General features: G+C 41.5%; 1 protein-coding gene across 12 annotated transcripts in view, besides 1 other annotated feature; it reads right to left on the minus strand.

Moving 5' to 3' along the window:
• Nucleotides 1–25,414, minus strand: part of FOXP1 (forkhead box P1) — a 629,271-nt gene that overhangs the window by 275,727 nt on the left and 328,130 nt on the right. Inside the window, exon 1 of one of the 12 annotated variants that reach the window (NM_001244814.3) lies at nucleotides 14,420–14,643. The exons of the other annotated variants lie outside the window; for them this stretch is intronic. The gene's annotated coding sequence lies outside the window, so the exon portion shown is untranslated. Of the gene's footprint in view, nucleotides 1–14,419; nucleotides 14,644–25,414 lie in introns of those variants that run through there. 12 annotated transcript variants of the gene reach the window in all.
• Nucleotides 10,833–12,999: an enhancer, noted in NCBI's record as "VISTA enhancer hs187". NCBI's record gives its function as "enhancer in: forebrain[8/9]" and the evidence as "EXISTENCE:transgenic organism evidence [ECO:0001131][PMID:17130149]".

Raw genomic sequence — 25,414 nt, forward strand, 5'->3', positions numbered from 1 at the left:
TTAAAGTCTTTAAAACCCTCCTCTACCTGGAAACAAAGGAACAGGAGGGGGTTAAATGCATCTCCTTTACCTATGACAGTAAACAGATAGTATTTTAAAGTGCAAAGTGCAACTACCATCCAAAAAAGAATAATTAAGCACAAATATATTAGTAGTTAATCCGTAGCTAAAAACCAACATCTAAAGTCTGCTAAGCCAAACCTGTGAGTAAAGTAATACTCGGGGAAGAAAGAAAGATTGGTGCATAAACTCAAGAGTACAGGGCTCACTGTGAATTCTCAAAACTGGGAAGAGCCAAGAGAAAACTCTACACATGTTTTATTTTAAAATTACTATTTGATACTGATTCCAAAACGAAAGTGTTTTGTAAAATATTTTCACAGTAGGTGGCATCACTTATCAACTGTAGGAGGGGGGTGGTGGCTTGAAGCATTTTCCTTTATTAAGTTATCAAATAATCATTTAAATGGCTTTCACACATTCTGTTCCATTTGAGATACACCTACAAGTAAGACAGGCTTGCCAGAGAACGGGAAAAAATTCCAGTAGAGTCTGACTATCCAGATACTTGTTTTTCCCTCCGCTCTTTAATCATAAGAAGGGGAAAAAAGCAAGTTTGCAAATCTACTTTTTTTGTTAAGTAACAGATCATTTTGGTGAAAAATCATGTTTCTGCAGCTGACAGCAAAAGTCCCCTTTTCTTTCAATGAGGACAATTTGGTTTAAAATAGCTTCTTTACTTAAATGAACCATGAATCAATTTTATACATCCTGACAAGGAAAGATGAAGATGTAGGCTTTAAAACTCAAAAAATAACTAAACATAAGCACAGTGATGTTGAGACATGATAGCACCTGCAAACATGCTTCCTTCTTGTTTTGCATTCAAGAGAAACAAAGTGAACTGATTCTCCTTTTTACCTTATAAATACAATGAATCAAAAAACATGAATTCTGATGCTACAAATAAGACAGAACCAATCCACCTATAGCTACCTTATAGGAAAAAAAAATAGGAGAGATTTTCTAATCTTTCAAGAGAGAATTACTATAATTTATTATAAATGTCCAAAGAGGGGAAAAATACACAACACCAACTTGTTGACTCAGTGGTTATTTTGGAGAAACTATGAATTCTGGACACTTCAAATTTCCATGCATTAGGCAAAAAACATAAATGGACTACAAGCACTGTTTATCAGGCAACATTTTTAAACTATAAAGTTAAGACAGAAAAATTCCAGGGAAATATAAGTTAAAATAACGATGAAAGATGAGTGAATAGAAAAAGCCTCCCTATTTTTCTTTTTCATTATGGTGCATAAATAATTCTGGTAGATTCAACTAGATTATGGTCTATGGAGATATCAAAGAATGTAGGGTGTCAGGACCTAGATTCCTAGAAATTTAGAACGAGGGGAACAGGCAATTTGCCAAAGGGCAAAGAGTTCATACTTCAACGTTATCTCCTGTAGGAAGGCCACATCCATTTCCTGGGTGATCCTTCAATTGCATGTGCAAAGAATTATGTACCTAAGAAAGAGTTATACAGCTCAAAGAAGAACTGGTACTTGGCCTATTTCAGCATCGTCACCTGAAAGGGATTTCTGGGGGTTGTCTGTCTCTCTTGTCAGGTCACATCTGAAGAAAGAGCATGTGTTTAAAAAGCTCATTTGGAAGGGGCTAGGTGGCTTAGCAAACTGAGATAATATAAAAAGAATCTGATAGTATCAAAATAAAAGATGTGCCACTATTTATTAATAATATCTCATCAGCCAATTTCACATGTAGTAAATCACAACAATTAGAGAAGGGAGGGGAAATACATTTCAGTCAAGTGCTATCGATTATCAGTGGCTGGCACTCCTTGAGAGGAAGATTCATAGGCCACAGTCAGGCTTGCTGAGAAAAAGTACTGTGATCAATTAGCAATGTCTGCTATGAGAACTGACAGAGAGGAGAAGCAGCACTAATAATAGTTATTCTACCCATCTGCTAGCTGTCACTCTACAGGACCCCTCAACTGATGCTCCATGTCATCTCCATGGTAGTACACAAAAGCTACAGAAATAAATAATGATGTCTTCTTTACGGCAGGAAGCTTATTCACATCCATAGATCTCAAAAAATGAAACAGAGAATAGAAACTCCGACAAAAAAAACAAAAAGAAGATAGGGTCAGGGCTGGGTGTGGTGGCTCATGCCTGTAATCCCAACACTTTGGGAGGTGGAGGTGGGAGGATCCCTTGAGTTCAGGAGTTCGAGACCAGTCTGGGCAACACGGTAAAACCCTGTGTCTACCAAAAATACAAAAAATTTAGCCAATTGCAGTGATGCACACTTGTAGTCCCAGCTACTTGGGATGAAGAGGGAAGATCTCTTGAGCCCTGGCAATGGAAGTTATAACGAGCTGAGATCGTGCCACAGAGCAAAACTCTGTCTCAAAAAAAAAAAAAAAAAAAGCAAGAAAAATGGGGACCAGGTGCAGTGGTTCTCTACAATACTACTACCACCACCACCACCACCACGACTACTACTACTACTACTACTAATAATAATAAAAACATAAGCTAGGTGTGATGTGCCTCTAGTCCCAGCTACTCTGGAGGCTGAGGCAGGAGGATCGTTTGAACCCAGGAGGTTGGGGCTGCAGTGAGCTATGATTGCACAACTGCACTCCAGCCTAGGCAACAGAGTGAGACCCTATCTCCCCAAGAAAGAAAAGAAAAGAGGGAAAGAGAGAAAGCGAAAGAAATAGAAAGGTAAGAAAGGGAGAGAAGGGGAGGGAAGGCATGGGAGGGGAGGGAAGGGGAGAGGAGGGAAGGGGAGGAGAGAGGAGGGGAGGGAAGGGAAATGGTTTCCACTTTGTATCAAGAAAGGTCTATGGTCCAACTCATAAAAAACTGAGGGAGCAGGAGCTGAGCTTCTGTAAATCCACAGCTTACCATGATTGAAAGGAAGGTTAAAGCAGCTGCTATAGTTTTTTTTTGTTTTTGTTTTTGTTTTTTTGAGATGGAGTTTCACTCTTGTCACCCAGGCTAGAGTGCAATGGCGCGATCTCAGCTCACTGCAACCGCTGCCTCCGGGGTTCAAGAGATTCTCTCACCTCAGCCTCCTGAGTAGCTGGGATTACAAATGCCCACGACCATGTTTGACTCTTTTTTTTTTTTTTTTTTTTGGTATTTTTAGTAGAGACAGGGTTTCACCATATTGGCCAGGCTGACCTCAGATGATCTGCCTGCCTCGGCCTCGCACCCCCCCAGCTGGTGCTATAGTTTTATACATTGTATTCTCTGATTCCTGGGGACCCCAAGAAGGACAAAAGAGGATCAGGACTTGTATATTTTTGGAAAACAAGGAAGGCAGCTAAGAAAACTTTTTAAAATGCATAAAAGTGGAATCAAAAAGAGAACTTAAGACCTTGGTAAAATGGACATTCCTTTTAGCCCAAATCAAACATCATTACATGACAGAGAAATTTTGCTCTTTCTTCGAGGGTTTGTGTTCTCAATGTTCTCTGGAATTGCCGTTATTATCTGGGGTGGGAGGGCTGCTTCCAGTCCTGGTTTTTATACAACCCACACTGACCTTTGGTGGTGCAAACTTACTTCCAGACTGTTCAGTAGTGATGTTTCTCGCATGCCCATTTGGGGAGATGGAGGCAGAAGGGTATATCTTCAATGAAAAGTCATTAAAATCGCTTTTACATGTTTAATATTATAAGTAAAAAAAAAAAATAAGAAAAGTTTAAAGCATTAAATCAAAAAACCAAAAATCTTTTTGGATAACCAGATTATTTGCCAAATGGCTGTCAGGGACAAACACCTCAAAACACAACGGAGTAAAAGGACACTAACCATTCATTATATTCCAACTCGGAATTAATCCAATCAGCACACTCATCCTCCACCACTGGAGATCATCCGACAAAATGGACAAGCCAAGAGTACCAAAGACTGTCCTTCCAAAACATGTCCTCTGCCTTCACCCTTGCAAAAGAACTGACAATAAAATATGGGTGAGTGGGGGGAGGCGAGGATGCTCTTCAAATCCTTGGAGGCACAAGTTGCACCGCCTACAGAAAGTTTCGTCACCCCAAGGACATCCCCAAGAACAACTCTTTGATTTTGTTCAGAAAATGGGTGTGCTGTGGGCAGAGATGGAGGCTGTCCTCTCTGAGGTGTCTGCAAAGAAATGTTTAGTGCAGATGAGTCTAAGGCATTTTCCTCTCCAGTTATGCACAGGACAAAAGCTAACATTTACATTATTCCTCTGTGAATGTTCAAAGAGTGACATTAGGCCAACTGTGGATAAGATGATTGAAAATGGAAGCACTGTATGGAAAATATCAGGCAGTAATCATATCCAGGAGCCAGTGGCCCAGAGATAGAAACACCCTGAAAACCAATTGATACTAATGAATCTGCAGCTTCAGGGCAGAACAGGGCAGGAGGAGGGGTGAAAATTTTAAGCACTTAACAAGTAAGTGGGCGCATTTCATGCTGGGTACTGATCTTTGCCAGGACCCAGTCTTCCTATGGTCATCTCACATCTAATACCCTGTCCCTTGACTTCTGAAGGACCAAAAAGTAAAGTGAGATAATATCCCACTTGAATGTCTGCTTTTAATGGACAATGTGACAGCTATAATTTCCATGTGCTCATTCCAGTGAAGGCTTCCATTTATTCTGATGGGGAAAAAAAAAATCTTAGCAAAGCGACTGTAGATCTAAGTCCCCTTGGATTTTAAGGACTGGCATGGATGTTTAGGGAAAAACTTTTTGGTGTATAACTCACTTTTCTGTAGGGGTTGGGGTTACTGAAAATTTACAATTAAAATTATGCTTTCCCTAGATCATCTATATAATAAATAGAATGTAGGAAAGATGTGGATCTTTAATGAACACCGATTACGAAACCTCTAGAAAAAAATTAAAGACTCTTTTTATAAGCCAAACAACATTGCTTTGATTTGGCAACCATTGAATCTTGACATCTTCGGTTGAAGCTATGACATTTCTTACCTGCCTTTATGTAGTCAACAAGCTTCCTGAAGTCAGGGAGCCCACCACGCCTAATAAGGCAGGGATAAAATCAGTATTTGTTAAGTGATGTACATTCATAGAATGTTTCTCTTTTTTTTTTCTCTTGAAATGGAGTCTCACTCTGTTGCCCAGGCTGGAGTGCAGTGGTGCAATCTCAGCTCACTGCAACCTCCGCCTCCCAGGTTCAAGCGATTCTCCTACCTCAGCCTCCTAAGTAGTTGGGACTAAAGGTGCGTGCCACCATGCCCGGCTAATTTTTTGCATTTTTAGTAGAGATGGGGTTTCACCGTGTTAGCCAGGATGGTCTCTATCTCCTGACCTCATGATCCACCCGCCTCGGTCTCCCAAAGTGCTGGGATTACAGGTGTGGGCCACCGCACCCGGCTAATATTTCTCTCTTTAAGAAACTATACTTACACAATACTGTAAGGTAAATTCTGTACTAGGTAAAGAACATATATTAGGAGAGTATCAAGGAGACAAATGCATCTATTTACCTAAGACAAATGCCCCAGTAAGAGCCTGTGGCTCCAGGACCGCATGTAACAATTCTTGCAAATAATCAAAGCCCAGGATAAGAGAATCACCTAGGAACATTCAAGGAATCCCATTCTCTCCTCTCTGCTGACCTATGCTCATGGAATCATCATAGCAGATGAGCCAATATTTACTGGCATCCAGGTCACAAGCTGGGTATAGAATAGAAACATTTTGCAAATCCAAGTTCTCTAAAATAGTGGGGTAGGTGCTATATTCTCAATTTGATTAGGAAGGGCAGGATGTTGAAACAATGGAAGGGATTACCTCTTTAGTGTTTCCCATGTAGAAATATTTGCTGTGTGTGGCTTCATCCCCAAGTATTTCCTGAGCCTCTGCTATGGGCCAAGTTCTCTGTAACATGCTTTCATTGCAGTTCTCGATTGACTTTTTGGATAAATCTTTGAGCTACCACCCTCCAGCACCCACGATCTACCAGTCATCCTGTCTACAGAGATATCATGTAGATTCTAGAGCTTCATTGTCCCACAGGCATATAATGAGAGCCACAGAGGCAAGCCACATGTGTAATTTTAAAATTTCTAGCAGCCACGTATAAACAAGCAAAAATGGCTGGGTGTAGTGGCTCACACCTGTAATCCCAACACTTTGGGAGGACAAGGCAGGAGGACGGCTTGAGCCCAGAAGTTGGAGACCAGCCTGGGCAACATCGGGAGACCTTATCTCCACAAGAGACAATAAAAATCATTAGCTGGGTGTGATGGTGGTTTCCACAGTCCCAGCTACTCAGGAGGCTGAGGTGGGAGGACAGTTTGAGCCCAGGTGGCTGAGGCTGCAATGAGCCATAATCCTGCCACTGCACTCCAGCCTGAGTGACACAGCGAGATCCTGTCTTAAGGAAAAAAAAAAGAAAAAGAAAAAGAAAAAAATAAAATAAAAAAGAAGTAGTGAAACTGGTTTTAAAAATACAATTGGGCCAGGTGCGGTGGCTCATGTCTGTAATCCCAGCACTTTGAAAGGCCGAGGCGGGCAAATCACGAGGTCAGGAGTTTGAGACCAGCCTGACCAACATGGTGAAACCCCGCCTCTACTAAAAATACAAAAATTAGCCAGGCGTGGTGGTGCACGCCTGTAATCCCAGCCACTTGGGAGGCTGAGACAGGAGAATCACTTGATCCTGGGAGGCAGAGGTTGCAATGAACTGAGATTATGCCACTGCACTCCAGCCTGGGCGACAGAGCAAGACTCCATCTGAAAAAAAAAAAAAAAAAAAAAAAAAAAAAAAAAAATTGGATTTTACTTAATATATCCAAAATGTTTTAATTTCAACATGCAACTAATATAAAAGATGAATGAGATAGTTAACCTTCTTTCTTCTTTTTTTCTACTAAGTCTTTGGATGCCAGCATATATTTTATACATATGGCCTATCTTGATTGGGGCTAGCTAGCCACGCTTCCAGGGCTCAAGAGCCACATCTGGCTGGTAGCTACCATAGCAGACAGTGCAGGACTAGAAGCATTTCAAGATCCTGGCCTGGAAGAGTTTCTGTGTGGTAAGGGAAACTGACACTTTACATACTGTCATCACTTCCCATGCTTGAATTGGGATTGCAGAGCTATGGAGCCAAGGAACGGTGCTAGGAAAGGAGTATCAGGAAGCACAGAGTTTCCTTGAAATGTTCCTACTGCTTTCTCTACATGTGGCCTGCAGTGTGTATAAATGAAAGTGCAAGCAATGAATCCATACGTGTACATGGGGATATGTGTAAACACATATGGACCCACATATCTATAAGTTCCACAGCTGATATTCATTCTGTCACCTGTCAAGATAACAGTAAGGAAGGCTTCAATCAAAGGGAAGGAGACAGCACAGCATTCTCCTCCCCCAGGAAAAAGGATAATTTAACAACAGTCTCATTTATGTGTCTGGAGGGGGAAGGGGAGAAGGAAGAGAAGGTGGCTCCCTGCCAGGAATTGACGTTATACTAAAAGACTGAGAAATTAGGAGATTCTCAGTTACTTAAGGCGCACATTTAGTCCGACTCTCCAAAATATAAGGTAACTACGAAAGGCTTTACATCCCATAGGCACTCAAAATATATGAAATTAATAAATCAATTAAACAGTAAGTTAACTAATTTAAGAGAACAAAACACTCTCAGGCTACATATAGATTAGCGGGGACCATGCAGTGGTGATTCAGTGAACAAGGGCTTTGCAGGCAGACAAGCAGGGCTTCAAAGCTCAGCTTGGTCACTTTCTACCTGCATAAGCAAGTTATTCAATCCGAGTGAATGTCTGCTTCCTCATTAGTAAGTAGGGACAAATTACAGTTACCTTGCCAGGCCTCTGTGAAAACAGAGTATGTAAAGTGCCTAGGCTGCTACCTGGAACACTACTGCCGTTCAATAAATGAATGTACAAAGTATAAGCATGCCTCTAAAGGGGTGTGGGGGGGTGTGTGTGTGTGTCTACAAGGAAAGGGAAGATTCAAGTGCAACAGCCAGGAGTGAGGACTCTGGGGTTTTCCTGAAGGAATACTTGTCTTGGTTCCAGACCTAACAGCTGTCTGACCTGGGACAATGTCTGCATCACAGTTGCCACATGGAAAAGATTAGAATAACAGCACCTATCCTGAAAAGCTATTGGTAAGATTCTATGACATTAAGTATGACAAGCGTTCACAACAGTTCTAGACCACAGCTGTAGCTCAGTAACCAAGAGTGACTATTATCGTTACAGGCATTCATAAATAATCGGGGCTGAGGTGGCTTCCCATCTAGGATTGCTCCTGTCCACCTGCAAGCACTTACAAGTGGCTCCCCCACACAAGGGAGGGACCCGGGAAGAGGAGGTTGAAGAGGTTTACAATCTCAACATCATCATGTATATTTAATAGCTTTACACTTTAGAGAGCATTTTCTTCTGTATTTTCTCATTTGATTTCTTTCTTATTTCCTCAAAAGTCTTCAGGAATAAGCAAGTCCATTTCAATCAGGAAATATTTCTTCAATACCTACTTATGTGCAAGGCATTAGTGTAAGTGCTGAGAATTCAGATAAACATTCCTTGCCTTCAGAGAGCTTATGCTCTCTGTTTTCCCACCTTCCTAAAAGTAGGAAATTTCACAGTGGGAATATGTGATTGCATTTGAGCTTGGTCTGTACTGAGAAAATCCAGTCTACATGCTGGGATAAAAATTAAAAATTTCCACACTATTATATAAAATCATTTCTCCTCTTCCCTGTCTCCCTCAATTATATTGAAAACCAAAAAGCTGCCCAGGCACGGTGGCTCATGCCTGTAATCCCAGCACTTTGGGAGGCCGAGGTAGGCAGATCACGAGGTCAGGAGATCGAGAACCAGCCTGACTAAGATGGTGAAACCCCGTCTCTACTAAAAATACAAAAAATTTGCCAGGTGTGGTGGCACGTGCCCGTAATCCCAGCTACTCAGGAGGCTAAGGCAGGAGAATTGCTTAAACCTGGGAGGCAGAGGTTGCAGTGAGCCGAGATCACGCCACTGCATTCCAGCCTGGGCAACAGAGCAAGACTCCTTCTCAAAAACAAAAACAAACAAACAAACAAAAAGAAAACCAAAAAGCTCCACATTTCAAAAAAGTATAATATTGGATATGGAATTATAGCCATAGTACAAGTATTTCTACAAGGTTTTTTACACACACTTTGAAGCCCATGGTATTTTTGAAAGCATGTAAAAGCAGGAAAAAGAATAACGCTTTTTAAGTGTTACACTTTGCTTTAAAACAGTCTGACATTGTGTCAAGTGTGACAGCCTTTGCTTAACTCAAACACAACTGGGAGACATTCACCTCCCCTGAGATTTCCAAAGTTGGACGAAATTCCATATTCCAGTTGCCACTGCTACCAGGCTGAGTGAGCCCTATGTACAATTTGCCATGGCAATACCAGGAAATTTCTGCCTGTCAAAATATTAGAAAAGGCAGCCTCCTATCAGAGAACTGCTGGGGGCAGGGTTGACAATCAACTAGGAAGAACTTTGGGTCAGGGGATGGAGAACTGGGGGGCTTCGAAAGGAAGTACAAGACTTTCACAGTCCCAAGAAATGAGAATGGAGGCAGCCGATTTCTATTTTATTTTAATACTTTTTTCCATTTGCTAAGGAAGTAGCCTGCAGCAGAGTCAAACAGCTTGAACTATTTTTAGGCCTATGACCCTTTTAAAAACACAGTGCTAAATTCAATCCTCAGTTACACCCACTCAACTCCCACTGGCTTCGGCGAGAGCCATGGGGAGAATCCGTTCACGATGTAGAAGAGTTTAGTGATGCTCTTTGCATTCTTTGGTTTGAATGGAAGGGCAGTGTACTGGCCAAAGGCCATGAAAAGGCACATGGCTGGTCTCCTGGCTCAAGCAGGGTAGCAGCGATGGGCCTACAAATGGAAGAGCATCTATGTGCAAAGCGTTTCCATTCTTACAGAAGTGGATGAAATGGGTGGTTTTTGGATAATCCAGGCAGAATGGGGGGAAAAAAGAAGTTCCTTTTGAAAATGTCATTCAGTCATATCTCAGAATTGTGTTTTTTTATTTTTTTTTTTAGACGGAGTCTCGCTCTGTCACCCAGGCTGGAGTGTAGTGGCGCGATCTCGGCTTACTGCAACCTCCGCCTCCGGGGTTCACGCCATTCTCCTGCCTCAGGTCCCGAGTAGCTGGGATTACAGGCGCGTGCCACCATGCCCGGCTAATTTTGTTTTTGTATTTTTAGTAGAGACAGGGTTTCACCATGTTAGCCAGGATGGTCTCGATCTCCTGACCTCATGATCTGCCCGCCCTGGCCTCCCAAAGTACTGGGATTACAGGCGTGAGCCACAGCGCCTGGCCAGAATTGTTTAAAATTATAATCTCATCTATGAAGGCCCAGATTTGAAGAATCTTAACAGTCAAGCTAAATTAAACTTTTACCTTCGCTGGGCGCGGTTTCTCACGCCTGTAATCCCAGCACTTTGGGAGGCTTAGGCGGGCGGATCACGAGGTCAGGAGTTCGAGACCAGCCTGGCCAACATAGTGAAACCCCATCTCTACTAAAAATACAAAAAATTAGCCGGGCATGGTGGCGGGTGCCTGTAATCCCAGCTACTCGGGAGGCTGAGGCAGGAGACTAGCTTGAACCCGGGAGGCGGAGCTTGCAGTGAGTCGAGATCCCACCATTGCACTCTAGCCCAGGCGACAGTGTGAGATTCCATCTCAAAAAAACAAAACAAAACAAAACAAAAAAACAAAAAAAAAACTTTTACCTCCAATTACCATAAGGGAGCACAGGAAATTCACTACTGCTGAAAGCAACACAATTTGTGACCATAAACTACAGAACGGTGGGGGAAAAGCCATCATTTTAAATAATAGGTCCCAAGTCTGACTTAGGGGCGAGTGGAGAGCATTTGGCGTCTCAAATTACTTTAACAGGGGGCCCTGTCATATCCCATGGAAAGGACACTCCGGTCTCCCCTCCACCCTCTAATCCTTCTTTCTTAAAGGAACACTCAGCAAGATAATGAATCCTTTAAATGTTACATCTTCTGTCGTGCATTATTGTGGTGCCGAAACTCTTCACATCAAACAGTCATCAGGACTATTACAAAGTGGGCTTATAAGAGAGGGGCTGAAAAGGAGCTGTGTGAAAAGAAGTGGAAAATTAAAGCTGAAGCAGTCGAAGAAAGGGCTTAATTTACTGGCATGTACAGTATGCAAATGAGATTACTCTCAGCTTAACTGCATCATTTATGTCCATAATAACGGCATCATCATTACAGGGCTCAAATTAAATTACACCATAATTAGCATATCAAAGTGATTGGTTAAAGTTTAAAACAAATACCCAATTTTGTTAATGAACAGCTGTAATTGTCATGTACACTTCAGTGAAAACTCTCTAAACAAATATATGTTTTAGAAGAGAGGAAGATTTTTTTTTAAGCAGACAGGTCTGTAGCAGAGGTAAATTGCCTAAAAAAAGAATGACATGGACTATTCTATTAATGTTAATATATGCTGATCATTTTCAGGTAATAAAACATTCTATCAAAACAAGGCTTCGCTTATATTTAGACACCTTCCCTGCTCTTGAAAGTGACAAACCACCAGAAACCTGCTTCTACTTGCAGCAATGATAACAATGCAGGGGTGACCTGTCTCGAACAAGCAAAGGACATGTTCGGTAACATGCTATTACTAACCCCCCATATTCATTTAAAAGACATTCGTGTTCAAATCGTGCTGAGTCAAAGCTGATTTTTTTCCTCATTCCAGCCCAAAGAGGGAAGAGTGACAGAAAACTTGCTGCACCTATGGCATAGACCAGAACGCTCCTAAGCTGATGCCCTGATAACATATTAGACAGCCTCCAACTCAATTTCTCCTCATCGAATCATAGCTACACAGCAGTTTGAAACACACAGCTGCACTAGGGAAGTTTGCTCTTCCATCATTAAAATACATCAGGAGGTACAGCTAGCTATTGTCAATTTTGGCTGGAATCAGCATGCACACAAATTTCGTATATGTGAAACCAGACACTAATAATAAGCTTGTTTCCAAACCTTTTTGTTATAACCATTTAATGTCAGAAGAGTTTCTATACAAAAAGATTTGTCAATAATCTGGAGGCTCACATGTGAAAAAGCTTTCCGCCTAAGATTGTCCCATTTCTTAACAACGTACCCCATATGTCCTCTGAGACAACTGTGAGGGTACATCGCTGTGATACACAGCATGGCAAGCCAAAATATATTTTGCCCAAAAAGGAAAAAAAAAAAAAAAAGCACTTTCAAATATACTTAACAAGCAAATTGAATGTCTTATTAAAATCGTATTATCTAAACAGTGTTCAAAAATTTAAAGAAAGTAGCTTTTCATTTTATTCATCGAAGAATCCATTAAAGCTTAGGCTCTGAAGTAGTATGTAAATTATGTGCCTTTCAAGGTAGAGCTAGGGCAAATTCACTCCATCAACTAATGATGAACCTCATTATGTGCAGGGAGGATTCATAATGAGGAAAGAGCCACCCGCCATTCCATGTTCTAACATAAATCCCTGTAAAATTTGAATATCTCCCCGTCTAATTAAAGGCTACTAATTCCAATCACCCCCTCCATGGCCCCAAAGTAAAAATAAACCTCTCTAAAAGCACAGACTACAGTTATATTTCTAAAGCAGTACTCGATCCTGTTTGGACTCAGAACCTTCCACTCAGATGTGTTTTTCGACAAGCATAATTAGCAGCTTTCTAAGATAGAAACTTAGGGGCTGCTCAAGCTCATTTTGGTTAAATACACTGAATTTCTATTTTTCAAAGAGCTTCACCTTGACAGGGCTACAGTGCATGCACAGAGATGATCCGCAGCCAAGAAACCAACAGGAATGTGCGAGCACAGTCATAACGTAAAATAAAATTCTTAGCACTCGAGTCCCGTGCTGAAGCTGAGATGTTCAGAAAAAGCCAAGCACTGTGGCATGAACCCGAGATTGCATTTGGACAGGGATGTATTCAAATCTGCTTGGGAATGACATACTTGATTCTGGAACAAACTGCTCACTTTTAACGTGGTTTGAACTAATGAACAAGTACGTCCCAGCATCTATAAGCCAAAGAACTATTCCCTCTTCTAATCACCAACTTTGATTTTTTTTAACTGAAAACTGTAGAAAGAAAATACATCGTTGCCAAACATATTTATTATGATTAATAGCCTGTAATATCCCTCACCAAGGCTTAATTTGCACTTGTTTTCAATTATGAAGCTGCACCACTCTAGTCCAGTCCCCTTTTCAGGTGGAGATGAATTTCTTGTGGTCTTTACTCTTTCTATTGTATTGCCACCCAGCAAGGCACAATTAGTTAAAAACAGTAAACCTCCACCTTGGCTCCAACAGAGCACCAGATTACACAAAATTAGAGAAGAAAATAATTGAGAAATAAGTGAAGGTGTCCAAGGAATTAAAGCAATTAGACCAAAGGGGAAAAGAAAAAGTACATAGCCAGTCACCCAAACACACCTTCACATTAAAATTTAAAAGAAAAGAAAAAAGTCCTAAATCTGTTATTTAATTTTGATAAACTCAATACAGTCCCTCATCAGGGAATCTTAGCTGCTGCCATAAATTCAAGCATCCCCAAATGTCTGAAACCCCAGTTTGGTAATAAAATGTACACATCAGTGTTACACCAGTGTGGATTATCCAAACCTAACGAGTCCATTCTACTAAAGATGCTGCCGCTACTTTAAGTTGCATAAAAATAAACTCCACTACATAAAAGCTGCCACAGTGCGTGCGCTCTCATCCCTCGGCTCCAAGCATGATCTCTCCCCCCTCTTTTAGGTCAGCCACTCATGCATTAGGAAGACATCCCTCCCAAAATAACTTGGCCCTCCCCCCGAAGCACAGAGTTGAGCAACCTACCTTTGTTCTGGAGTTGCAGATAATAACAGGCAAGCCTCAAGACCATGAGGATTTGGAAAAGATCAGGAGAGTTGAAAAAGGGAAAAAAAAAAAAATAGAAGAAGAAAAAGAAAAAGAAATACGCCCAAGTAGAGAAGAATTGGAAGAAACAGCAGGAAAAGGCTTCTAATGAAACTGTTGTGGCTGCCACAGATCGGGGGTGTTTTCAGCAGTGTTTACACCACACCAGTGAGTACACACCTCTGCTACATCTCATCCACAACTGGTGGCATTTTTTTTTTCTGAATCCATGCATGACAATTAAAAGCACTGCACCTCTCTGTTTGGGAGGGGGACCACAAAAGACCTCCGCAATATTTCTTTACAATGTCTATATCACTGATGAGCATTAGTTTGAGTGACAAAGGTCCCAGGCTAAATCAACATTCTTACCTTAATGTTCCTAGTAAAAGGCTCCAGGAAACATAACTCATGAGATATGTATGCAAAGATATGTCTCAAGGAATTAATCCAGAGCCCTCAGATGAAGTGAGGGGGGAAAAAAAAAAAAGGAAAAAAGAAAAAAAGAAAAGGCAGTGGCTTACATTTCCAAACAAACGCAGCTCAGCCTGGGGAAGCGATGGCATAAAAACAGGTTTGCATATACAGAGCTCAGTGGCAGAAGCGAGAGTTCCGTAGGATTTATTTGACACTTATTTTCCGGGAAGCCTTTTGTGGAGTTGTACCGTTTGTTTCTTATTGTCTGAGAAGCAGTTAGGAGCTTTCTCCCGGAGGGGGCCTCTCAACCCCTGGCTTGGCCTCCTCTGACGGGGAGGTAACCATATTAGGATGTGTATGGTAAAGTAAACAATAACATAGTTGCAATGAAATGGAATTTTTTTTTCTCCAGCTAATGGTGTTGGGGTCAGTCCTGTCTTTTCAGCCATTCCTACTAATTTTGTTTCCTAGTTCAAACAGGCCCTCCTCCTCCTTTTTTTTTTCAAGTGTTAGCTGTTTCCAAATATCTGACTGTAAATTTGCTAAGAATGTTTGCAATGTAAGAAAAGGCTTTTAACATCCAAATAAAGACCGTGCCAGTTTAATCATTAAAAGGGATGTGAATTTTCAATCCCTTGCAGAGATACAAGCCTTCTCTACCCACCCACCCCCTCCCCATCTTTCTCTGAAGGTTAAAATTACTTGGTCATTTAGAAGTACCTGCTAAATAAATCAGATTTTTAAAGAACAAGACCGTTACCTTCATAAAAATTCCTCATTCACATACTGTGTCACTGAGTGAAGAGTCTTAACCATTCATGCACCTGAAAATTTATTACCTGAAATTTCTAGGATGGTTACTTTTACATGATAAAGCTCTTTCCCACCTCCTCCAATCACCACCCCCCCCACCCACAAATAAACAAAAAGCATAAAATACTGTTGTCAAATCATCCTTTAGAAATTAGCTAATAAAATAAAAAATATTATGAAGAATGAGTTCCCAAAATGTTACATTTTTAAGAAAAGTTCTGCAGGTCCAAAGACAACAATAAAAAGTAAGGCTGCTTTCTTGCCATGATCACTTAGTACGAAAACCACCCCCCCCCCACCACAAAGCAGTGAGTGAAACATCCCACTCAAAGGTCAGGGCTAGGCTGATAAGGAGGGTAACAATGCTGATGGGGACCACAGAGAACTAATCTGGAGGCAGCTGAGCAGCAGCGAGCCAGCTCTGGCCCCGACGCTGAGAAGGCTTCCATATCTTTATTCCCTAGGTGAGAGCCGTGGCTGCTCTTGAAAGCAGTTTCCCCATGAGATCAGCCAAAATGAGGGTGCTTCGGTAGCGGCCAGCCCTCGGTGTGCAAGGACGGGAGGACAGGGACAGTGATGCTGCCTGCGAGAACCCGAGAAACCTTCTGTGTACCAGGCATCGAGGCAAAACATGTGCCATGAGCAAAAGGGCACAGGCAGGGGGATAAATGATACATGTAATTAAGAATGAAGCCAGGCTGATCTAGCAAATAAAATGCATGTGGCCCTGGTGAAACTTCCAAAGCTCAGAAAGAGTTCCTCCCTAGCCTGGAACCTCTGGGCTGCCCTCTAAACTGCCTTGGTTCTTATCAGATCCATATCGTACAGAAACCTAAAACCCCTGCAACTCATGTTTTATTAAAACATGTTTAGCATTCTTTTTAAAGATAGGTTTTAACCCCAAATACCCATGAAATTAAATCTCCTATGCCACTTATCTGCACTGCTGGGCAAAAACTAAAGTTGAGCTAAACAGAGAGATAGCAAAATCAATAAATCACACGAAACAAGTAGCAGTTCAAAAGTTCAAAGATATGATGGCCAGTTCAGCGCGTCTTAGCACTCACCCAATAATAACTCGTCTCCGTCACTCTTCATCGTATAGACAATTTCATGGCATCATTTTCATTAGCCTGTCTCAGAGAAAATTGCTAGCTATTTATGTATACGCTCAAATAAATTAGCCATTTCATCGAGCAATGTGATTCTTATAAAATACATTAACACAATACTCGATTTTCCAGTTGCAGTAAATAAATAAATCAATACATTCAATACAGGGTGATTCTTTCACTGTGGCGCTACAGCTCTCAGCATAAGTGTTTTTATTGGGTTTATTTGTTTCAATAAAAATTGAAATGGGCCAGTGATCTCAGTGCTAGCATCTTAAAAAAAAAATCCATCCAATATTGGGGAAAGTATTGTGCAGAACATTCAAACTTATAATTTTATTCAAGAATCATTTTCATTATGTATTATTCCACAACCTGGTTCTGTTGGAAAATTTCACAAAGGGAAAGGGGGAAATCCTGCCAGGTGTTTGACTCTGGTGGCGTTTCTGTGCTGCAGACCCCAGTCTGAGGGTGATGCTTCTGAGAGACAGCAGCACTTGGCTGAGCTGCGACCTTCTGCCTGGAATGTGCCTCTTCCCTGGGCAGGGAGAAACGACAATGGGACAAGTGCCAGATGGCCTCCTCTGTCACACCTTACGGAATGCCATTGATTGTGGCTCAGAGAAGGCCATTTATTCCAACCTCTGGGGGAAAGACCGGGGTATCATGACTGCAGGGAAGAAGAGAGAGGTGTGCTGCTGCTGTAAATAAAATCAGGCCGAGGGCCTGCGAGCGACTTTGGTGGCGAAATCAAGACACACCAGGCAGGAGATTTTCTCCAAGTCACTAGCACAATGAAAAGGGAAATATGGTAGTGGATATCTGTTGTTTTTGTCTGCCCAACATCCATGCTCCCCTTTCTCTGATGACACTAGCCTGATTTTTCTTTTGGGGAAACGCCCATTCTCCACTCTCAGTCCTAATGGTTCACAGGAGGCTGATGCATCTCTCAGCTCCAGAGGGTGGAGCCATAACCCAAGTCTGACCAATCAGTGAGTTCTGCTCTGCCAGCAACACTGATTGGCTGATGGATGGACATGTCCCAAGAATGATACTCAACTACTAGCATTCCATAGGAACTATTGGGAGACAGAAAGGCTGTCCTTCTGCTGGCTTGCTAAACTTTTAAATGCATGAATCGGGCTTGCCTCCACAAAAAGAGAGCTGGCTGAACAGAGGCCAGGACACAGCGGCAAGAAGGTGAGCACAATAGCAAGACAGATTCCTAACAATGCTCACAGAGAACAGGCCTCCTCTTGGACTTGTCAATTACACAAGCCAATTAAATTCCCTTATTTGCTTAGCCAGCTGGAGTTGGCTTTGGGTCATTTGCAACCATAAGGTGCCACACAGGAGCCCAAAATAGATAGTGTTCTATATGTAGCTCTCCTACTCTACAATATATGTTAGCCTTTATGGGAAAGCAAACCAACTAAGCACACACAAATCAATTAACTCTCATAACTAATATTCAAAATCTGTAGGATCTCGTGTTTCCTATGTAATTAACCAGTTCATCAGCCATGCTCTCTTCCTGCTAATAATGGAGTTGGAAAAAGAAGTCAGGACCCACAGTCAGAAAGAACTCAAGATGATCTCAAAGCAAACTAAACTGGAGGTCTAAAAAAATCCAGCATGGCCAGGCACGGTGGCTCACGCCTGTAATCCCAGCACTTTGGGAGGCCGAGGCAGGTGGATCACGAGCTCAGGAGTTCAAGACCAGCCTGACCAACATGGTGAAACCCTGTCTCTACTAAAAATACAAAAATTAGCCAGGCATAGTGGCGCGCACATGTAATCCCAGCTACTCGGGTGGCTGAGGCAGGAGAATCGCTTGAACCTGGCAGGCGGAGCTTGCAGTGAGCCGAGATTGCACCACTGCACCCCAGCTTGGGCAACAGAGCAAGACGTCATCTCAAAAAAAAAAAAAAAAAATTCAGCATGAAGTCGAATACAAACTTAAGAAGTTCCTCTCCAGGCTCCTCATAGTTATGGTTCAGTCAGGGATGGACCAACCTATGAGATTAGGGGAATGGCCAGCTGGTTCACACAATAGGCCTCAGGCCTGGTGTGGAGTCCTTAGTCTTGTGGTCACTGATCACAAAAAAGCCAGTGGGAAGGGTAGGAAGGAGAAAGAGCTGCATTGGTCATTGAAACAAGGCCAACACAAACTTCCCAGCCCCAGCACTTTCTGAATCCTTTTGTGTAGAATTTCTGCAGATGCTGGAAACCCAGGAGGAACCAAAGTGAACATCCTAATTTAGCATTGGAGGAAAGAAAATAACTGAATGGAGTTTAGAGTCATGTGGATGCCAGAGGCCATAGGCAAGCTAGAAACAATATAGTAAGAATATTTAAGCTGGGATGGAGTGGGCAGGGTCCTGGCGCCTGCCTGGCATTTAGCCCTGGCTCCAGCCCAGCCAACCCAGCAAACAGGGCCTTGACTTCCTCTTCCTGGGTGGGAATGAACCCCAGATCAATTCAGTCAGCCTTTCTTGGGACTAGTAACCATAGTAACATAAACAATAACAAAAACAACAATAGAAGCTACCATTTATTCTTAAATATGCCGGCAGTTATACTAGTCACTTTACATGCATTTCCTCACCTAATCTTTACAATTGCCTTGCAAAATGCAGGCTGTTATTATTTCCATTTTGAAAATGAGGAGACTGAGGCTCAGAGAGGTTAAATAATCTGCTCTTGGCCACACAACAGCTAAGCAGTGGAGTCCGGATCTGAACCCAGCCCTCTGGCTGAGACACCTGATCCTTGGACACCATATTGGCATCCAACTGCTGCTAAGCAGGAATGTCAGTACCAGCCCCTGTTGCTCACACAAATGCCCTGAATAATGAAGCTGGCCTGGAGTACAAGCCAATCCACTATACCCCAAGACATCATGACTTAGATGGCTGGCTCCACTCAGTTGGAAGGGAGAGGGAAAGTGAGGAGGGGAGAAGACAGAAGAATAAAGGGAAACAACACCATGGCTGCCCTATTTCTTCAGCCTCAGCAGCATCAGTGTCAACCAGACTCCCCATGCAGCCCAGTGGATCCTCCCTTGCCTCTAACTGGGGGCCATGGGACTCAGAACAAGTCTTTTCTGAACGTAATCACAGGTTTAACCCTACTTAGCACCAATATTATATCCAGAACACATGTTGTCTGACATCTGTATAAAGAGAATTGCTTTAAAACTTGAACTGAGGAGCTGGGGGCCACAGAAGTCCACCCCACCAGACAGCAGGATTTTTTAACCTCAGTACTAGGAACATTTTGAGCCAGAAAATTAATTATTCATTGTGTAAGCTACCCTATGCATTGCAGAATGTTGAACAGCATTCCTAGATGCTAGTAGCACATGCCCCCACCGCATTCGTGACCTCCAAAAACGTCTCCAGACGTTGCCAAATGTCCCCTGCTGGGGAAAGTCATTCCTGGTTGAGAACCACTCATCTAGAGCATCACTGCCCAACAGAACTTTCTGTGACAACGGAAATGTTCTATGCCTACAACATCCAATAGGGTAGCCAATAGCCACATGAGGCTCCTGAGCACTTGAAATATGGCTAGTGTCACTGAGGAACTGAATTTTTAATTTTATGTAAGTTTAATTAATTTAAATAGCCACACATGCCTAGTGGCTGCCATATCTTGGACTGTGCAGTTTTAGAGGGGGTCATAGAATTTCCATATTCATGACAATCGGATCTTAAGCAGATGGATACTTGGTTTCCAGTACAAAATTCTTCATATTCATTAAAAATTGTATTTTCTTCTCAACGGAAATTAATAAACTCTAAAATTGAAAGTGTTTTTTGCGTTGGGCGCAGTGGCTCACGCCTGTAATCCTAGCACTTTTGGGAGGCTGAGGTGGGCAGATCACCTGAGGTCAGGAGTTCGAGACCAGCCTGGCCAGAATGATGAAACCCCATCTTTACTAAAATACAAAAAATTAGCTAGGCATGGTGGCGCACGCCTGTAATCCCAGCTACTCAGGAGGCTGAGGCAGGAGAATCGCTTGAACCCAGGAGGCGGAGGTTGCAGTGAGCCGAAACTGCGCCACTGCACTCCAGCTTGGGTGACAGAGTGAGACTGTGTCTCAAAAAAAAGAAAGAAAGAAAAAAAAATGTTTTTGGTAATGACTTTTTTAAAAATTCCAATCTTACTTTGAATCTTTTCATCAAATTTAAGTAAAAATTATTTTTTATAAACACGGTTTTGATTAGAATTGTAGATTTATATAATTGAGTAACTTGAAAGCTTTATGCCTGTAGATTAGAACCAAGTGCACTCTTTAAGAAGCTAGTTGCAAAATGATTTCTTTTTTCACTGTTAGAAAAATGTACTTGCTACTCTCTTTGGGACACATTGAATGTAAACTGTGTCTTCAGAGACATCAGCTATCCTGCAGAAAGTGCTCTGCTCCAGCAACTCAAATAACTCATACCATTTGGAAACGAGAGTAACACTGTGAAAAGTCTCTTAAGCAGTCACGTGCCTCCATCCTGTCCCTCCCCTGAAAAACCCAAAATGCACACAATTCAGGTGAAGCTTTCCACTGTAACTCAAGGTGTGATGGATTTTTCAGCTTAGCGAGAAAGATTAGTATTGATGTAACAAAGTGACTGTAAAACCAGCCATACAACGTTATAAATACATCATAGCTGTCAGGATGTTTCTTTCGCAATGGGCAAATACAGAACCAAAGACCATTTGGAAGCGGGGGTGGTGGTCATACACAACACCATGTGTGGGGTGGGAAACATCCAGAACTATGGCGCTGAGCAGGAAGCTGAGCCATCTACAAAATATTTCCTGAGTGATATATAGAGAGCTTAAGATGGGATAAAGCCTGATGATGAACAAAGTCAACAAAGTGCGTTGGAGTTACCCACACTGTCTTGATACCAAGAAATTTTAGCTTTAGCAATGATATGAGAATCCAAAAGTACACTGTCATTCTGAATAATTGTATATGTATCTCCTTTGTAGGCTCAACGTAGACTTTAGGTTAACCTCCACTGGTCAAGTATGAAGTGTTATCCATATGGCACACACTACCGGATGGCAACCCAACAGCCAATCCCAACTCGTTCTTTCTCTTCTCCCTCCCTTTTCTCCCACCTCCTACTCCCCAAGCTGAAAAAATGAGATGCTCCCCCTTCCCAGCTTTCTCTGCAGTTAGGGATGGTGATCTAATTTAGTTCTGGCCAAAAGATATAAGGGGAAGATGACTGAAAAGATATAAGGGGAAAATGACTTTTTTTCTTCTTGATAAGAGGACACTAAGAGATCTCTTTCTCTCTCTCTCACCGCTCTGTCCTTTTCCTTACTTTGTGCCTTTAAATGCAACCATGTAGGAAAGTGATGCCTGGTGCTTCAGCAGCCATCTTGTGGCCCAGAGGGAAAAGTTGAAGGAATCAAAGAGCTTCCCTAACCCCACACTCAGACATTATTAAGATGCCAAACCAATCCTGGCACTGCCTATCTTCAAACTTCTGGGCAAGTAAATAATGAATTTCCTCATGTTTTTAGCCACTGTGGAGTAGTGAGGTGTTCCATGAACACATGCTAATTGATATATCCCAAATTCCAAGAAAGACGAAAGAAAAGTCACTTCCTTGAGAGAGTGGAGCTAATAAAAAGTGTAATTACCAATCTCCCAGTATCTAAATTGGTTCTCTGAGAACTTGTCACTAAGAAAACAATTCTTAGTCCTTAGAGTATCCCTGAAGAACAACAACAATGCCTCAGGCCCCCTGAGTGCCAACTTCATGCAAGGCTTTTACTGAAGTGGTTTACTTACGTCACCCAGTCTTCTGACACCCTTACTTGACAGGTACTATGATTTTCCCAGTGTTTGAGATAAAGAAACAGAAGTGGATGGAAGTGAAACAAAATGTCCTAGGCCAACAGCTGTTACAGAAAACCTGGTCCCACAGTAGGGAAATGGTTACACATGTGGCCTCAACTGCAAAACATGGTCAATGCCAACCGAGTGATAAACCTTTCTTACTCTAACATGTAACAGCAGACACCTGGGCTCAGGGCATAGGTTACACACAGTCATTACAGCTGTGCCTCAGTTTGCAACAGAAACCAAAGGAAGGATTCATAGGCTAGTCCTGCAATGGCCCCAGATGCTGCCTGAGACAGAGGTGACAGCAGCATCCACAATGCAGCTGACACCATGAGCAGGCAAGGGTGTCGCTTCATGGCTATCTGTTTCCAGGTACTGGGCCAAGTGGGGCATGGCCTGATGCATATAGTGCCTCCATCCCCCAATTTTAACACCAAAAGAAAAATTAAAAGGTCAAAAAAATCCTTCAAGGGAAGTTGCTAAAAGGGGGCCCATGTTAAACAGAAGTCACTTAGAAACATTAAAAGGCAGGTTGGTGTGTTGGATAGATGCAGCAAATGCACTGGTGTGGACAGCTGGGCATGTATCTTAGGGTAGATAAAGAACCATCCGGCAACTTGGCTTCATAATTTTTGGCTGTGTGATCTTGAGTAATTAGCTTAACCTCTCTGAACCTCAGGTTTTCCATCTTTAATATGGAAATAATAGACGTGTTTAACTTTAGTGAGTTGTGGTGAGAATTAAATGAAATGATACATGTCCAAGTTCTGATCTTTTACACAGCAAGTACACAATGATACTTAGCTACCATCATCATCATCATCAGTATTTAATGATAATAAAGTGCAATATTACTATGAAGTATGTAACCCAGTACTCAGCATGTGCTAGGTTCTCAGTAAATATTTACTCCTTTTCTCTTCTCTCTCCCTTCCACAAATAACTCGAAGATTTAACTCTGATAAGATGTACCTATTGTAATTTTAAAAAATATTAATAAGCTCATCCCACTAAAATGGTACTGGACTTGGTGTTATGGTAGATACAAAGACAAAGAAAGCTTCAATGGACATATGACCACATAATAAATACGCCAAATGAAAAAAGTATGTACCCGTTAAAAATGTAATTAATTAAATATATGTAGCACTAACATTTAAAAAAATGTTATACATGTAAGGATAGCCCTTCCAGTTACTAAGTTTCTCTGGGTATTAAGAACAGAGGTAGTTACGATTTTAAAAATATTTTGCCTTATAGTTCAAATTTTCTGCTATGAACATGTACACCTTACAAATTTGGAGGAAAAGACATTACTTTGCAAAAGATAAAAAACAGAAGTTTCTACCTTCCTGAATTGGTTTTCTAGGGGTGAACAGTTAATAATCTGTCAACCACATAAATGGTAACAAATCTATAAGAAATTTTAAAATTTCTAAACATTTAACTAATCCAACCTCCATGCCTTAATAAGTTACTCTGGGTATTTTCCTCCCCCCTAACTTCCTAGTCTCACCAGAAGTAAAATTTTCCCCTTGGTTTCAACCTGCTTTTGTCTTCCCTGTAAGAATATTGGGAGGAGAAAATTCAGAGTACATCTTCAAGGCCCCCGCAAAGTGTGACTAGAATGTACAGGTAGGTAGGTTGGGCACACAAAAATAAATAACCTATTAAGAGTCATGACTACTGGGCTGACCTCACTCATGGAGGTATTGTGGACCGGCATTTGCTAAAAAGTTTTTCCTTATTGGTTGGCTGGCCTCAAAGAGCTCTGCGAATGCCAGGACTTATGATAAGCTATGACACACTTAACTGTTACATATTAATGTTCATGATAATACAATCTTTCATTTGGGTGATTTAAAAGTCCCTCTAGTCCGACTTACAGTTAGATATACACTGAATGCTTCATCAATCACAACCATTTTTATTCTCAATCTTGTGCAAAAATACTAGAGAAGGTGAATTCCAGTTACACACTGAAGAGGGCTTTACTGTTAGCCCTGAAAAATTTCACTCTTTTCACATGTACACTGGATTCCAACAGTTTCTGCCTAAGCATTCTATTTACCTGTGTCTTTCACTGTAGCTGATCTTATCTACAGGGTAAAAGCAAATCCACATTCATATCTCTACTATAGGGTCAAACTCCATATCTTATATGGAGAAAGCATTTCAGTTATGAGCTTGACAAAATGCCCAGCATTGCAACATTTGAAATACTTGGGAGCAAGCAGCATGAGAAGGTCACAGCAACTTGAACGGAGCTTTTTAAAAGGAGGATTTAGAACCACCTCACAGCAATAACCAATGGGCCCACTTAACGCCAAGCAGTGAGTCGGTGATCACACCTACCCTAATAAATGCACTTGAAAGAAACTACACCCTTTTTCCATTCCTGTAAAGGCTTGCTGTAGTTTCATGGCCAAAATCTTCCCACAATTAACCTCGGACCTATAGATCATAAGGCAACTCAAGACAGAGGCAGCAATCAGACTAGCCACCATCCAAAATGGTCTTGTCCTACCTTGACTGCAATTATCTTCTAAATTAGAAACACAGGAATTGTTTAGGTCAGAATATAATAGCCCGTTAGCCTTACACTGTCCCCATGTGCAACATAGAAGTAAATGCAACTATAGAGACAGAAAAATCTGTACCCCGAAATGTTTTGCTTGGGGTGGGGGAGAGTTAAGCCTAACCCTCTAAAATGAAGTTTTAAAAAAATACCTAACATATATGTATTCAATATTTACATTTTGATTTTATTATGTTTCCTCGCTTTCATACTCTTAAGTTCTCCCATCTTAACAATCTTCTTTTAGGCTAATAAATTTCTTTTGATGCCTAGGTCATTTACTGGTTGAGCTCTTAAGGCAAGGAAACACTAAATTATTGGAATTCAGTGGGGAGATGCTTCCAGGGTAAAGGTTCTCTGTTTATTAGCAAAAGAAATGCATTCAACTAATTTGACTTGTAAGTCTGATAAAATCTCCCTGGAAAAATTGATTCGATTATGATGAGTAATCCTTGGAGATGAAAAATGACAAATACACATATTATGTTTTATTATATATTAATTTTAAAAGGGTCTGAAACGAAACTCAAGTAAGCCATCTTTTAGACGTTGGAAAATGGCAAACTTCCCCACAAACTACA

This window comes from Homo sapiens, chromosome 3 (genome assembly GCF_000001405.40).
Source record: "Homo sapiens chromosome 3, GRCh38.p14 Primary Assembly".
Lineage (NCBI taxonomy): Eukaryota > Metazoa > Chordata > Mammalia > Primates > Hominidae > Homo > Homo sapiens.